This window comes from Homo sapiens, chromosome 19 (assembly GCF_000001405.40).
Source record: "Homo sapiens chromosome 19, GRCh38.p14 Primary Assembly".
Taxonomy (NCBI): Eukaryota; Metazoa; Chordata; class Mammalia; order Primates; family Hominidae; genus Homo; species Homo sapiens.
Genome location: NC_000019.10, coordinates 33,520,855 through 33,534,945, shown reverse-complemented (window position 1 = coordinate 33,534,945; position 14,091 = coordinate 33,520,855). Strand labels below are relative to the sequence as shown.

The following is a 14,091-nucleotide window of genomic DNA, read 5'->3' as shown; positions in this document are numbered from 1 at the left end:
TTTATTTAAAAGTTTTTTAGAGATGGAGCTCTCACCATATTGCCCAGGCTGGTCTCAAACTCCTGTCCTCAAGTCATCCTCCTCCCATGGCCTCCCAAAGTACTGGGATTGCAGGTGCAAACCACTGTGCCTCACCTGCTAGAAGCTTTTAAAGATTCTCCAAGAGGTCAAGTGCAGTGGCTCAAGTCTATAATCCCAGCACTTTGGGAGGCTGAGGCAGGAGGATAGCTTGAGCCTGGTAGTTTGAGACCCGCCTGGGCAGCATAGTGAGACCCCCATCTCTACAAAAAATAAAATAATTGGTTGGACATGGTGGCATATGCCTGTAGTCCTAGCTACTTGGGAGGCTGAGGCAGGAGGATGGCTTCAGCCCAGGAGTTCAAGGCTGCAGTGAGCCATGATTGCGCCATTGCACTCCAGCCTGGACAACAGAGCAAGACCCTATCTCAATAAATAAATAAATAAATAAATAAATAAATAAATAAATAAATAAACTCCAGCAGGTTCTACTGGAAGCCAGGGCAGAGGACCACTGGGTCCTCATATGGTAGTAGTCCCTCTGGATCTCAGTTGGTCTCCAAGAGCCTAACCAAGAGTGTAGACCACCTACCCACCCACTGGCAAATGTCATGCCAGGATGAGCTCTCAACCGCAACCAATAAAAATGAACGCAGACAAATGTATGCAGAAAAGGACCCCATCGGAAGGATATTGGGCAGCTCTTAGAACCTGTGAGGTCCTGGGCTGGGGAAGGAACCCCACCTGGGCCGAGCTTTTCTGTGGGCAACTGGCTCTGCCCTTGCAGCCACCACAGCTGCCCCAGCCTCCGGCTCTGATTCTTGCTCTGCTGCAGCCACGACGAATCTTTTCTGGCTGAGCTAAGCCTGGGCAGGGGCATGGGCCTGGCCGTGCTTGGGCCTGCACCCTAGCTGCCCTCCAAGAGAAAGGGTGTCGGGGTTCTGGGCAGCCACCACGACAGTGCCCACAGCTTCTCCACCTGCCACTCTGGCAGAGTGGGGACTCTGGCAGAGGGGGAGGAGGTCGTAAACACCGTGTGCCTGTTCTGGAAGGGGCCATGCTGGGCAGGATGGAGAACCCCAAGTGCCTGATGCTCACTAACTCCCCACCATAAACCCTTCTCGCCTTCTCTCTGGGATCCCAGATATGCAGGCAGCACTGGAGCCCCAGAAACACAGGACTCGAGTGAGTTCTCAGCAGGATGGAGGCTGATGCAGGGATGTCCTTGGTCCCTTCCCTGAACTGTCCTCCTCACAGTCCACTGAATGTCAGAACCCAGGGCTTGGATTCTGGGACCAGGTCTTGGGATTTGGGATGTAGTAGGGGTCAAGGTCAGGGACAGGGTCAGGATTTGAGACAGCTCTTCTCACCCAACATGACCCAATGGGATGACCTCCCCTGGGCCATCCAGAAGGAGGGTGGGATTTGTCAGGCCCCCAGCGAGTCCCCAGCAAGTCCTCTGGTGCCCAGCCTCAGGGTCTCTGGGAGCAGGGGACGGGGCCAGCGGACCTGTGGGGTCCGTCCTGGAGCAGCTTCTCCACCACCCTCCCCTAGATGGCTGGGCCCTTCCCCTCCCTCCCCTCCCCCTCACTTCGGGGCTCAGGTGCTGGAAGGAAATCTCTGAATCCATGGAAACCACACAGGAGGCTGGAAACCAGGAAGGAGGAGGGGGCTGGGCGCTGCCTTGCAAGTCCTGGGAGGGGGAGGGGGATATTCCCTTCCTTGATGAGTAAAAGCCTCAAATACCATTTTCTTTCTCACCAGCAGCCACCTCACCAAAGGATGGGTTCCCAATTCTCTCCAGAGCTGAGCAGATGAGGTGGGAGGAGCTAGCAGACCCTGGGGTGGGAAGCAAGGGGCAGGGCAGGGGGAGAGGCAGGGGGATGAGAGTCAGAGGTAGTGGTTGGTGTGGTGGAGGTGGGGCTCCGGGGTCAAGCTGGGGTTGAGCATAGGGGCTCTGGGGCCAGGAGGTGGAGGTTGGAAGATGGGGTCAGTAGCAGGAAGAGATGGAGTTTGGATGGTGGGGTTGGAGTGAGGCAGGCAGGGGTGGTGGGGCCAGGGTGGGGAATTGGGGCGCGGCACGCGGGGTCTGAACTCCCATCAGCCATGGCAGCCCCTGGTCCTCACAGACCCCAAGTGTCCCCTTGGTCCCACCCCTGGAGAGCTCTGTCTGTGATTCTTATAAATCACAACCAGGCCTTTTCCTGCAAAACACAAAGCAACCAACCTCCCCTCCCCAGACAGTTTACCGTGTCACTCTGCAACCAGAAGCTGGGACAGGACAGCAGTGGTGATGGGCTGGGTGGGGGTGAGGTAGGGGTGTCTGGGAACAGGTTCCACAGACTCCAGGACCCATGGTGGTTACCAGAAAGCGGTCTGGATCCAGACCCCAAGAAAGGGTTCTTGGATCTCCCACAAGAAAGAATTCAGGGTGAGTCCACAGAGCACTGTGAAAGCAAGTTTATTAAGAAAGTAGAGGAATAAAAAAATTTTTTTTTAATCTAAATGCACCTTCCTTTAATAAAAAATAGTTTCGATTTAAAAAAAAGAAAGAAAGAAAGTAGAGGAATAAAAGAATGGCTATTCCTGGGCCAGGCACAGTGGCTCACGCCTGTAATCCCAGCACTTTGGGAGGCTGAGGCGGGCGGATCACGAGGTCAGGAGATCAAGACCATCATGGCTAACACGGTGAAACTCCGTCTCTACTAAAAATACAAAAAAAGTAGCCGGGCATGGTGGTGGGCACCTGTAGTCCCAGCTGCTCAGGAGGCTGAGGCAGGAAAATGGTGTGAACCGGGAGGCACAGACTGCAGTGAGCCAAGATTTTGCCACTGCAACTCCAGCCTGGGGGACAGAGCAGGACTCCGTCTAAAAAAAAAAAAAAAAAAAAGAATGGCTGCTGGTTGCCCATTTTTATGGTTATTTCTTGTTTGTTTCAAATAGGTTATCCAATTTGTTGCTATATGTTATTTATAATATTCCTTTATAATCATTTTTATTTCTGTAAAGTCAGTAGTAATTAACCCCTTTTTCTATTTCTTTTCTTTTCTTTTTTTTTTTTTTTTTTTTTGAGATGGAGTCTCGCTCTGTCACCCAGGCTGGAGTGCAGTGGCGCAACCTTGGCTCACTACAACCTCGGCCTCCTGGGTTCAAGCAATTCTCCTTCCTCAGCCTCCCAAGTAGCTTGGATTACAGGCATGTGCCATCAGGCCCGGCTAATTTTTGTATTTTTAGTAGAGATGGGGTTTCACCATGTTGGCAAGGCTGGTCTCGAACTCCTGACCTCAGGTGATCCCCCTGCCTTGGCCTCCCGAAGTGCTGGAATTACAGGCGTGAGCTACCGTGCCCGGCCCCTTCCTTCTTTTCCTTTTCTTTTCTTTCTTACACATATTGCCAAAGCACCTTCCAAAGTAGCTGTTTCCATTTCTCTCCACACAACGCTACAACATTTGATCTCAGCAAGCTTGTACTTGGTGCCAGGCTTGGGTGGGAGTAGGGAGCCCCTGTAGATCCCATGAGTCCCCTGGCCAGGCCAGTGAGCTTTCCTGCCCGAGCTGTGGGGAGGGCAGAAGGAGTCGGTATCAGAGGGCTTGATGGGCCCTCACTGGGGGAAGAGAGGGAATAAACCAGGCTGGGAAATGGATGCCCAGTGGCCAAGCTTCATCTCAGGAGAGGCAGCCAGTAGGGCCAGCCTGACCTCCAGGCACAAGAGAGGCTGCTTCCTTACGTGGCTGCCCAGACAACGAACTCCAAACCTGGCTACAAACCACAGGCAGCTGGAGTGTTGGTTAAAAATCCAGGTGCCTGGGCTGGGCAAGGTGGCTCACACCAGTAATCCCAGTGCTTTGAGAGGCCAAGGCAGGAGGATGGCTTGAGCCTAGGAATTCGAGATCAGCCTGCACCCTGGGCAATATAGCAAGACCCCATTTCTACAAAAAATAAAAATTAAAAATTTGGCTGGGCATGGTGGCACGTGCCAGTGTTCTCAGCTACTTGGGAGGCTGAGGTGGGAGGAGTGCTTGAGCCCAGGAGTTGGAGGCTGCAGAGAGCTAGGATCATGCCACTGCACTCTAGCCTGTGTGACAGAGCGAGACCCCATCTCTAAACAATAACAGCAAAATCCAGGAGCCTGAGCTGCACTCAAGCCCAGCAAATCAGCATCTCTGGGGGCGGGCTGCATTCCCACCCACCTATCCCCCTAACCCGCAAAGGAGCCTGGCACTTATCGTTCTGCTTTGTGGACTGTCCCCAGAGGATTTGGAGACCCTCAGAAAGTGCCGTTAGTCTTCACATAACAAGCATCCACTGATGACAGAAGGGACAAAGTCTGTCCTTGGTGCCACATCCAAAGCTAAAAACAGTTTTCTGTGCAGCCAATTCTCCAGCCTGGAGTTCAGGGAACATTCGTAACAATTTCATGAGCTTTTCTCAGCCCAGTTTTGGCCTCCTCTTCCTTTCAAGCAGAGATGGCACCTGCTGGAGATTTTAGGTCTCTTCTGCTCCCAGATCCCTGTGAAGAAAGGCCTGGCTGCTGCCCCAACAGGGCTGGTACTGAGACTCTGAGCAATGAGGGCAGCTGCCTGGCCACACCTGGAAAGGAAAGCTCAGGAAGACCTCGTGCTGGGCAATAGTGGGTCCTGCAGGTGGGCTCGTCTGGGAACTGAGATGGCATCACTTTGGAGGACCTGCAGGTGCAGAGCCCCTGCCCCGGCCTCACCACTGCAGGATGATTTCGGTTCATTTCCCCACAAGCCCTAAAATGCATAGTATGATATCAATCTCTGAGATCTGGAAATAAAATTGTGATTTTTCCCAAAAGCTGTTTGAACTGAATATCCAGAAAGAATGGGGAAAGGAGTGAGACTCCTGTCATTTCATCACGGCATCAGGGAACTTGGCATCTCATTCAGAGACCGTGCGACTCTCTGAACGAGGCACAACAGTCGTACCTATTAATCTTTTCTTTTTCTTTTTCTTTTTCTTTTTCTTTTGAGATGGAGTTTTGCTCTTGTTGCCCAGGCTGGAGTGCAATGGCGCAGTCTCGGCTTACTGCAACCTCCGCCTCCTGGGTTCAAGCAATTCTCCAGCCTCAGCCTCCCATGTAGCTGGGATTACGGGTCCCTGCAGCCTTCTCTGCTCAGAAGCCATGCTGTGCCCCAGGCGGGGGTGGGGAGGTGAAGGTCACACTCTCTCTCCAGGGCCACACAGCAGTGCTGCTTGGACCCTGCATTTTGCAGAGCTCCTTGTGCACACAGGCCCTGCAGGGTCTCCCCCAGCCTTCTCTCTGGGGCAGTAGTCCCAGGATCTCCTCCTTCCACCCTGTGTTGGTTATAATCATGGTCTAAAACGCTGCTGGATGCAATGGGTAAGACGATCCCTGAGAGAGCTCAGGATGCGGGGGCTGGCTTGGCTGGTCTCTGCTGGACTCACTCATGGGCCAGCAGTTGGCCTCAGGCTGGATAATCAAGGCTGCCCACGCCTGTGTGTCTGCTGGTTAGCTGTTGACCAGGTATCTCACCCTCCGGCGAGGGCATCTTCCCATGGTGATGGTAGCAGGGCTTCCAAGAATGGCAAGAAGGTGAGCCTGGTGGAGGAGCACCTTCCAAGCTTTCCTTCTCATTTTCTAAAGTAAGTCACGTGGCCGCCACATTCAAGGGCTGGTGAAATAGATTCTACCTCTAGATGGGAGGGGTTGAACATCACAAAAGCGGGTTGTGGACGCAGCACGTAGAAGAATTTGAGGTCAATTCTGCAATCTATTACATGTCTCTAATTCCTCTTACAAACCTCCTTGCAGGCTATCTCTTCCTTACATGCAAATCCATGCGCACAAGCAGAGCCCTGTGGCTGAAGCCCCGGACTGGACCAGAGGCCCTGGGTGTAGCGAGGAAGCATCTCCCCTACCCTGGAAGACTTCCTGCTCACCCTTGTTCCTCTCTTTCCCTTTAGCACTGCTGTGTTTGGCTGGACTGCCAGCCTGCTTGCTTGAGGTGGTGTGGCAACCCCAGGTCCCAGCCAGTCCTCTCAAAGGGGCTAAGCACTGGCCCCCTGGGCTTGGGGTTATGGACTCACTCCTTCGGTCAAGGTCGCTCTGTAGCTGAGCAGGGCTACAGTGACCTCACAGGTCATCTCCCCCACCTTCACACCTGGGAGATAAGGATGCTTGTCTCTCCTCACTGCCCCTACCCCTCACATGACCACTGAAATAAGGATAGCACCCCCATGAGCCAGGGGCTGAGCTGAGTGTCTCCTGTGACATTCATCTAATCCTCTCAACAATCCTCCCAGCTGGGACCCATCGTCCCCATTTTACCAATGAGGATGCTGAGGCTCAGAGAGGTTGGGTTATTTTCCCTATGCCACACAGCAAGTAAATAGCAGTGCCAGGAATCGGACCTAGCTTCCTACATCCAATTCCTAACCACTGTGTCCAGGTTCTCTAATAATAAGTACTGCTAGGAATGATGGCTCATGCCTGTAATCCCAGCACTTTGGAGGCTGAGGTAGAAAGATTGCTTGAGCCCAGGAGTTTGAGACCAGCCTGGGCAACACCGTGAGACCCCATGTCTACAGAAAACATGTTTTACATTAGCTGGGGGTGGTGATGCACACCTGTAGTCCCAGCTACTTGGGAGGCTGAGGTGGGAGGATTGCTTGAGCCCAGGAGGTCGAGGCTGCAGTGAGCAATGATTGTGCCACTGCACTACAGCCTGGGGGACAGTGCAAGACCCTGTCTCAAAAACAAAAAAAGAGCAGTAAGTATCAATAAGGAAAGTAACTACCACCACATTTGCATCATGTTAAACTGCCCCCAAGGGCCTTAGTGTTCAAGGGGTCATCTGACCCCTTGGAACTGCCCTGTCAGGGAGGTAAAGCCCATCCCATCTTCATCTCCAAACGGGGAAAGCGAGGACCAGAGACGTCAAGCTGCCAGGAGTCAAGCCCAGGCTTCTGGCTTTGAAGTCCATGCACTTCTTTCTCCATCACACAGTTTCTATTCGAGCATTTTGTGCTCAGGGATATTTATTTGGCAATGACATGGAGGCAGAGCTAGGTAAGAGCTCCAGAGCCAAGACACTGGAAATAAGCTGGGATGGCGGCACACGCCTGTGGTCCCAGCTACTCAGGAGGCTGAGGCTGAAGGATCGCTTGAGCCCAGCAGTTTAAGGTTGAGCTATAATGGTGGCATTGCACTACAGCCTGGGCGACAGAAGGAGACCCTGTCCCCCCATCACTCAAAAAAAGAAAGACAATTGTGTATCCTGTCCCCCGGCATGTAAATCAAAAATTTAAATTATACCAAACCATCAAACAAGAAATTCACACTTATGCTAAAACGAAAATAGCTGCATTCTAGACATTCTGATTGAAATATTCAGGCTTTTATCCAAGCTAAACTTTTCAAGGTTTTACTTGTGGGGGTAGGTTTTGTGTATCTACCCCCACCTCATCTCACCCCATATACACACATCCCCACCCCCAGCAGAAGCCAAAAGGGACATGATAGCCAAGGTGTGGGCATGAGACTTGGGCACTGCAACTGGCTGTACTGCCCATCAAGCGCTTTGAGCATGCAGGGGGTGAAGCCAGGACACTGTATCAGTCCCAGTTACGCCCAAGGGCAGAGTGATGGCAAGGGTCTGAGCAGCTGTGCCAGCTGCCATGTCCTGGGGGTAGCCTGGTGGTGCACTCAGCTGCCAGCCTCCCTGCCTCTGCCTGTTTTCTGAGTCTGTCTCTCCTGCAACTGTGCAACTGGACAGCATTTGAATGTATCCCTCTTCTACTTGAGGTGAGACTCAGGAGCTGCTTGCTACAGAAAAATCTTGACGAGTCGGGGCTCAGAATGAGAAGGGACTGCAGCCAAGTAGTTATGCAGGTGAGCAGCAAAAGAGCCACGGGAAGGAAGAGGCTGGAGGAGAGACAAGACATTGAGGAGGAAGTGCAGACAGGGGTGGGGTCAGGAGCAATCCCAGTGGATGGAGCGGGAGGAGACACAGGTGATCTCATCTTGATGGTGGCATGGACAGAAGGACCGGCAGGTGCTTTCATGAAATGCTTCTTAAAATGACACCATCCTGGCCAGGTGCAGTGGCTCACGCCTGTAATCCCAGTACTTTGGGAGGCCGAGGCAGGTGGATCACCTGAGGTCAGGAGTTTGAGACCAGCCTGGCCAACATGGCAAAACCCCGTCTCTACTAAAAATACAAAAAATTAGCCAGGTGTGGGGGCGGGCACTTGTAATCCCAGCCACTCCGGAGGCTGAGGCAGGAGAATTGCTTAAACCCAGGAGGCAGAAGTTGTGGTGAGCCGAGATTGTACCATCGCACTCCAGCCTGGGTAATAAGAGCAAAACTCCATCTCAAAAAAAAAAAAAATAAAAAGAAAAGAAAAGAAAAGAAATGACACCATCCTAAAATGACAAGCATCCTTCTTAAAATGACACCCTGAGCAGAGTCCCTAAAAGGAACAGTTGAGGCCAGGCTCAGTGGCTCATGCCTTGCAATCCTGAGCTTTGGGAGACTGAGGCAGGAGGATGCCTTGAGGCCAGAAGTTTGAGACAAGCCTGGGTAACATAGTAAGACCCCATCTCTACAAAACATACAAAATTAAAAATAATTAACTAGGCGTTGGGGGGGCACACCTGTAGTCCTAGCTACTCAGGAGGCTGAGGCGGGAGGATTGCTTGAGCCCAGGAGTTTGAGGCTGCAGTGAGCTATGATCACACTACTGCACTCCAGCCTGGGTGACAAAGCAAGGCCCCATCTCTATTTAAAAAAAAAAAGGAACAATTGTGAATGCCAGCAGACACCCACTGTCTAGTCAGTGACATTCAGTCACTTGGAGCTGGGCACAAGGACAGTCCATCCCCCTGGAGGGTTACTCTTCAGGTCACAAGGTATAGGACCAAATCCTCCTACTCTGGGACTTTGCACTCATATCTTTTGAAATTAGAAATTTCATCCTTTTTTTTAATCAAGATCTTGATATGGGATAATAAAATTACCAATGAATAGCCCTGCACAACGTGGGAAATGTAATAAAAGGTGAAGGCAATAAAAGGTGAAGCTTCTAGCCACTCCGCGGTGATACCCACTCGTAAGAAATAAAAGTAATTATCACCTGCCCAACCTGGTCGGCTCACTCTGCATGTGCTGAAGAAAACCATTTCAGAACTTTATTTCTTATATTGAATGTCGATAATTGGATGTATTTATAAGTCTCTCTGGAAGAAAACAGCTTGTGATTTCAAGATGGGAAAACAGTCTTCGAAACAGTGAGAAACAATATATTCCCCATTTCCACACACACAAAAAGAGCTTGTTTCCTTCGATGTTTTCAGGTGCTGTTGGAATGATTTGCTTTTCCGAAGCCACCGTTCCATTTCTCATCTTGAATTGCCTCGTAGACCCCAGCAAAGCATTCAGCAGGGACCACTTCATCTGAGGCGGTGATGGGGGCTTCCTTGGGAAGGCCCCTCAGCTCTGCCTGCCTCTTTTCTACAGGAAGATAGATGCCCAGGTGGGCTGGGCTGGGGGAGAAAGGAGAGGAGGAGTAGAACGTGATGTGGGGGCTCCTGTGAGGAGGGGGGTTGATGGATGGTGGTGACAGCTGGGGTGTAGGCCTGGAGGAAGGAGCAGGCCACACAGGCCTTTGGAGTGGGAGAGCTGTGGCTACCTCTGCAGGCCCTGCAAAGGCCCAAGGCTGGGATCTGCCAGAACCAGGATAGAGAGACGGTCTCCTGGGCATTCCACACCCATCACGCTCCTTGCTTTCCCACTTGGGAAGACACTGGGTTGCCATATGCCACCCTGCCCCTATCTCACACCCACAGTCCCCTCTATTCTTCCTCTTCTGTTTATTTGGTGCTGGCTTTCTGCATCCAGTCTTCTATTCTCAGCAAAAGCAAACAATCGCAAAACACCCAAATGCCATCTTGTGTAGGGCTTTGACCATCTGAGGCTGGCGGCCCCGTGCAGTGGCTTTATTGGCTCTTATTGGCTCTTTTCAGTTCTCTCTGCTAATCCTCCTGAGCTCCTGCTGGAGAGAGGGGTTTGGATCGGCAGCTTGCAGCTCAGAATCCCCCAGGATCTCCCCATTAGCCAAAAGCAGAACCCTCGAAGCCCCGTTCTGAGGCCCTCCCAGATGGTGGACTCCCCAGGGACAGTGTGGAGGGCTCCTCTACCTCTGTCCCCAGACCAAAGATCCTCTAGGCAAGGGCAGGGTCTGGATCCCTGGCCCTCACAGCATGGCCAGTCCTGGAGTGGCACTGTGGGCAACAACTGGGTGGTGCAGGGCAGAACCAGCATCCAGGCTACCTCCAGTGCAGTCCCACAGAGCCTCTGGTAGACCAGTGCCCTCAATCCACAGCAGAAGATGGACAGGGCTCTTCCCGGGGACCTCCCCTTCATGGCCCAAGGGTGGCTCATGAGTCAGAGCCTAGCAGGCCGCCACATCTGGGCCTGCCGTCTCCAGGCAGCCAGCTGTCAGCAGCGTCCACGGAGTTGCAAGAGTGGGGGCTAGATTGTGGGGAATGGGTGGAGGAGGGAAACCTGGCTGGACACAGTGTCCCGGGACACAAGAGGTGTCTTCCCAGGGTGAAGCTTCTTTTGCAAGGCCTGACGGGAGTTGGGGGGGCCCTTCTGGAGAATAATGCTATGCTGGCTACCGGGCTACCAGGCTGACCGAGTGCAGACATCTACCAGCCACCTGCAGGGCTTGACGAGAGGAGACTGTTTCGGCCACAAGGGCCTGTGACCTCGGAGGCAATGCCGCATGAGAGTGCTGCCTGGCGCGCTGCCTTGGCTGATTTACACACTCCCACTTCGACTCTCTAAAATCAATCTTCCCCCAATTGCCTCCTGGCTCCAGCAACGTCCTGGGTCTGCCCTGCATAAGTAACTAAATGGTCTTCTCCCATATTCTGGGCGGCTTCTGGAGCCCCTGCCACAGCCTCTGATGGGGAGGGGTGAGGGGTGAGGGGCAGCCCTGCCGGAGCCCCTGATGGGGAGGGGAGAGGGCAGGGGACCTGGGTGGGCAGGGGTCATGGGCAGTGCCTCCATATTACTGTCCACAAACAAGGGAGCTCCACTCAGTTGGTGGGTGCCTTCCTTCCATTATTTTGTGTTTGGGATATTGACTTCTTTTTCATATTAGTAAGCACTCAGAGCTGGCAGCTGGCTTAATTTTGACATATTTTATGTCAAAAGAAATGGTGGGAGGCAGGTGCAATGAATGAGCTGGGGGGTATGTTTTCCTTCCTTGAAGGCGCATGGAAAGCTCATTCTGCTCACCCTTTGTTATTATGTATTTTTTAAAGCGCCACTTACTAGGGAGTTGAGTTTCTTAAGCTGAAGGCGGACCTACTGCTTAACTAGGGGTGTTAGAAGTTCTCAGGGGCCCCTAGGCCAGGCAGTGGGGTGTGAATCCTTACCTCTGTTCTTCTTCCTGGAAACTGGCAAGAGGGTGGAGAGAGCTCCTCTTGGACCTTGCCTGGAGGTCAGGGACCCCTGCAAATTGTCCATGTGTTGTGGGAAGGGGTAGAAGGGATGAGGCCCCCCCTCTTCCATTAGCTCTCGTTTTCCTTATCTGGGACCGGGAGGTGGGAGGGGCTGTCTGGAGGGGCCACATTCCTCCTGGCAGCTTTGGTCTCTGGCTGTGCCTGCAGGTTTGAGTGTAAAACCCTCTAGCAGCCCTGTGAGGTGGCCCCATTAGCTCTCTCCTGACAGATGAGGACAGCAGGGATGGTACTGGGCTTCCAGGTAACTGTGCCACGTGCCCTTCACTACCCTGCTTATGGCTGGCTCCCTTGCTCCTATTTAAGGGGCCTATTCTCCTCCCTGCTTCATGGGGACAAACAGAAGCTGCTTCTCCAGTCATAGCCCCTGGCTCCCACCAGCCTGGCCATGGTGACCCACATCCTTGTTTCGATAAAGAAACAAGAAGCATCCCCCAACCCACAACCTTTGATCAGAAGCCACTTCCAGCTGTGGGACAGCTGCAGGGTGGGGTCAGGAGCCCCACACGCCTATCCTGGGCCACCCATCCACCTGTCCACACACATCTGTACACCACACACATCTGTACACCCTTGGCGCCAGGGACGCCCTCCCCCAACAGTGTGGGGCCCCCTTCCTTCACAGGGGCAGTGAGGTCACTCCTCAGGGTATGGCTTCATGAGCTCAGCCTCTGTGTGAGCACTCTCTGGCCTCAGTTTCCTCATCTGTATAATAGACTTAAAGATAGTCTCGACCTCATAGGGCTGTGGTGAGGTTTCTATGAGCTCACATGTGCAACGCATTTGGGCCGTGCTTGTAATGCCCTGACTCTGTTGGCAGTAGGGAGGGCAGCGTCTGCTGCAGGGTCCCTACACCTTCTCTGCAGGACTCTGCACCCAGTACCAGTGCCCAGTGGGGCAGAGGAGTAAGCCTTCTGGCAGACTCTCCCTCCTAAACCCTTCTCGGCTGTGCCCACTTCTCGCCTGCCCTCCTCCCTGGCTTCCCTTCCTCCAGCTTCTCCATTCTGCAGCCCAGGAAACCTAGAAAAGATCCTACCAGACTTAACTCATAGGCCCCACAGTGGAGGCCCCGCAGGGTCTGGCCCTTGCTTCCCTTAGGCTGCCCCTCTCTCGCGCACATTCTCCTGGACGCTGCACATTTAGAGTCCTCCAGTTGCCCCACGGCCTTTGCTCAAGCCCTTTCCCTTCTTAAACAAAAATCGCCACCTCTGCCCCGACCCTAGCCTGGGTCAGTCTCCCTCCTCTCCTCCCACGTGGTTTCTTTATTCCTATGTGTTCTTCTCCCGGGTGGGCTGGTACGCCAGATCGGGGACTGAACCAGAATCAAGATGTCCTCTGCTTCAGGACCTCCCTCCCACCACGAAAAGGCTGCAGATGCTGCCCGCTAACCCGACCTACTGTCTGCAGCCGGCAGCCCGCTCATTTATCCTGGCCGAGCTCTTGGGCCCCCAATCTCCGGGAGCCCCGCCCCATCGGGGCTCCGCCCTTCCCCAGGTACCGCCCCTTCCCGTCCCGTGGAATTTGGCTCTGGAGGAGGTGGGTCAAGGACTCCATGCCCCGCCCCCTGCCCCGCCCTTACCCCGCCCCATGCATTGGCACCCGGAGGGGCTCAGCTGACGCCGCACTTCACGTGACGCCGGTGCCGGGCGAACATGGCGGCGGCCACCGGGTGAGTGCTGCGCCTCCCTCGCTCTTTCCCGCTGGCGTGGAGAGGGGCATGGGTGTCCCGGCCGGACCGCGGGTGAGAGCGTCAGCCGGGGTCGCTGAATGCCGCGGGTAGGCGCCTCTTCCCGTTGGCCCGGAGTCCCAGCGCCGGTCGGCGAGCTGCACGCTCCGAGTCAGGGTCAGCGCGGGGGCCGCAGCTCCTCTCCACCCTCCTGGCTGGCTCCGGCCCCACCTGCCCGCGTCTGGCGGCCCCACCGTGTGCGGCTGCGGTGGGGGCTGGGGTCGACACGCATGTTCGCTGCCAAGACCCCCGGGTAGGAGGGCGGCGTTGCGAGGACCCCAGGGACCCGGGCGCTTCCCGGAGGAGGCGGTATTCGAGACGGACTTGGAATTCCCTTTTCCCAGCAGGGCACTTCCCCATTTCTTTCAGGGGCCAAATGTCACCCCCTCAGGGAATCCTTCTCTAACCATCTATCCCACTTTTTGTGCCCTCATCATCACCTGATAAACTATATAGAGCATTGTTTGTACTTGTTCTTTATCTTCTCTGCATTTAGAGTGCAAGGGCAGGTATGTTACCTGCTTCTCAGTAGCCCGGTGCCTTGCACACAGTAGGTGCTCCATACTGGGCTAAATGAAAGAAAGCTGAGTGGTCGTAGTGGGAGGAAGGGTGGACAGATGGGTTCACCAGAGCGTTGGGCGGAATCTCCCAGATAGGGAGCATCTGAGCCCAGGGTAAGGGACAAAGGTTGAGAGTTCAGAGTGTTCTGGGGACAGGGGTGCATGCCTGGGGCTGGTTGGAAGGTGTGGTGTTCCAGGTGGCGGCTTCAGACTTTGCCCTGATGGGCTGGAAGGGTTTTGTTACAAGCTGCTTGATCTGTTTTTTAAAGATT

At 53.9% G+C, this 14,091-nt stretch overlaps 1 protein-coding gene and 1 long non-coding RNA gene across 5 annotated transcripts in view, besides 5 other annotated features; one reads left to right on the top strand and one right to left on the bottom strand.

Moving 5' to 3' along the window:
• Positions 423 to 939: an enhancer, noted in NCBI's record as "H3K27ac-H3K4me1 hESC enhancer chr19:34024913-34025429 (GRCh37/hg19 assembly coordinates)". NCBI's record gives its function as "activates a minimal SCP1, AML or CMV promoter by ChIP-STARR-seq in primed H9 embryonic stem cells {active_cell/tissue: H9 hESC(primed)}" and the evidence as "EXISTENCE:reporter gene assay evidence [ECO:0000049][PMID:30033119]".
• Positions 940 to 1,457: an enhancer, noted in NCBI's record as "H3K27ac-H3K4me1 hESC enhancer chr19:34024395-34024912 (GRCh37/hg19 assembly coordinates)". NCBI's record gives its function as "activates a minimal SCP1, AML or CMV promoter by ChIP-STARR-seq in primed H9 embryonic stem cells {active_cell/tissue: H9 hESC(primed)}" and the evidence as "EXISTENCE:reporter gene assay evidence [ECO:0000049][PMID:30033119]".
• LOC105372370 (uncharacterized) lies at positions 9,169 to 13,012 on the bottom strand. Of its 2 annotated transcripts, none has more exons than XR_935918.3 (3): positions 12,932 to 13,012; positions 11,450 to 11,525; positions 9,169 to 9,547 (listed from the first exon to the last, which is right to left on the bottom strand). It is a non-coding gene; the product is annotated as an uncharacterized LOC105372370 (long non-coding RNA). The 2 variants fall into 2 exon arrangements; XR_935919.2 differs by having other exon boundaries at positions 12,928 to 12,999.
• Positions 11,928 to 12,890: an enhancer, noted in NCBI's record as "H3K27ac-H3K4me1 hESC enhancer chr19:34012962-34013924 (GRCh37/hg19 assembly coordinates)". NCBI's record gives its function as "activates a minimal SCP1, AML or CMV promoter by ChIP-STARR-seq in primed H9 embryonic stem cells {active_cell/tissue: H9 hESC(primed)}" and the evidence as "EXISTENCE:reporter gene assay evidence [ECO:0000049][PMID:30033119]".
• Positions 12,891 to 13,854: an enhancer, noted in NCBI's record as "H3K27ac-H3K4me1 hESC enhancer chr19:34011998-34012961 (GRCh37/hg19 assembly coordinates)". NCBI's record gives its function as "activates a minimal SCP1, AML or CMV promoter by ChIP-STARR-seq in primed H9 embryonic stem cells {active_cell/tissue: H9 hESC(primed)}" and the evidence as "EXISTENCE:reporter gene assay evidence [ECO:0000049][PMID:30033119]".
• Positions 12,946 to 13,145: a silencer, noted in NCBI's record as "silent region_10498". NCBI's record gives its function as "represses an Ori minimal core promoter by ATAC-STARR-seq in GM12878 lymphoblastoid cells {active_cell/tissue: GM12878}" and the evidence as "EXISTENCE:reporter gene assay evidence [ECO:0000049][PMID:35858748]".
• Positions 13,155 to 14,091, top strand: part of PEPD (peptidase D) — a 134,842-nt gene continuing 133,905 nt past the window's right edge. For all 3 annotated transcript variants that reach the window (NM_001166057.2, NM_001166056.2, NM_000285.4), the window contains exon 1: positions 13,155 to 13,202. In NM_001166057.2, the coding sequence (NP_001159529.1) occupies positions 13,186 to 13,202 (17 nt within the window). In that variant the 5' untranslated portion in view covers positions 13,155 to 13,185. The remainder of the gene's footprint in view (positions 13,203 to 14,091) is intronic.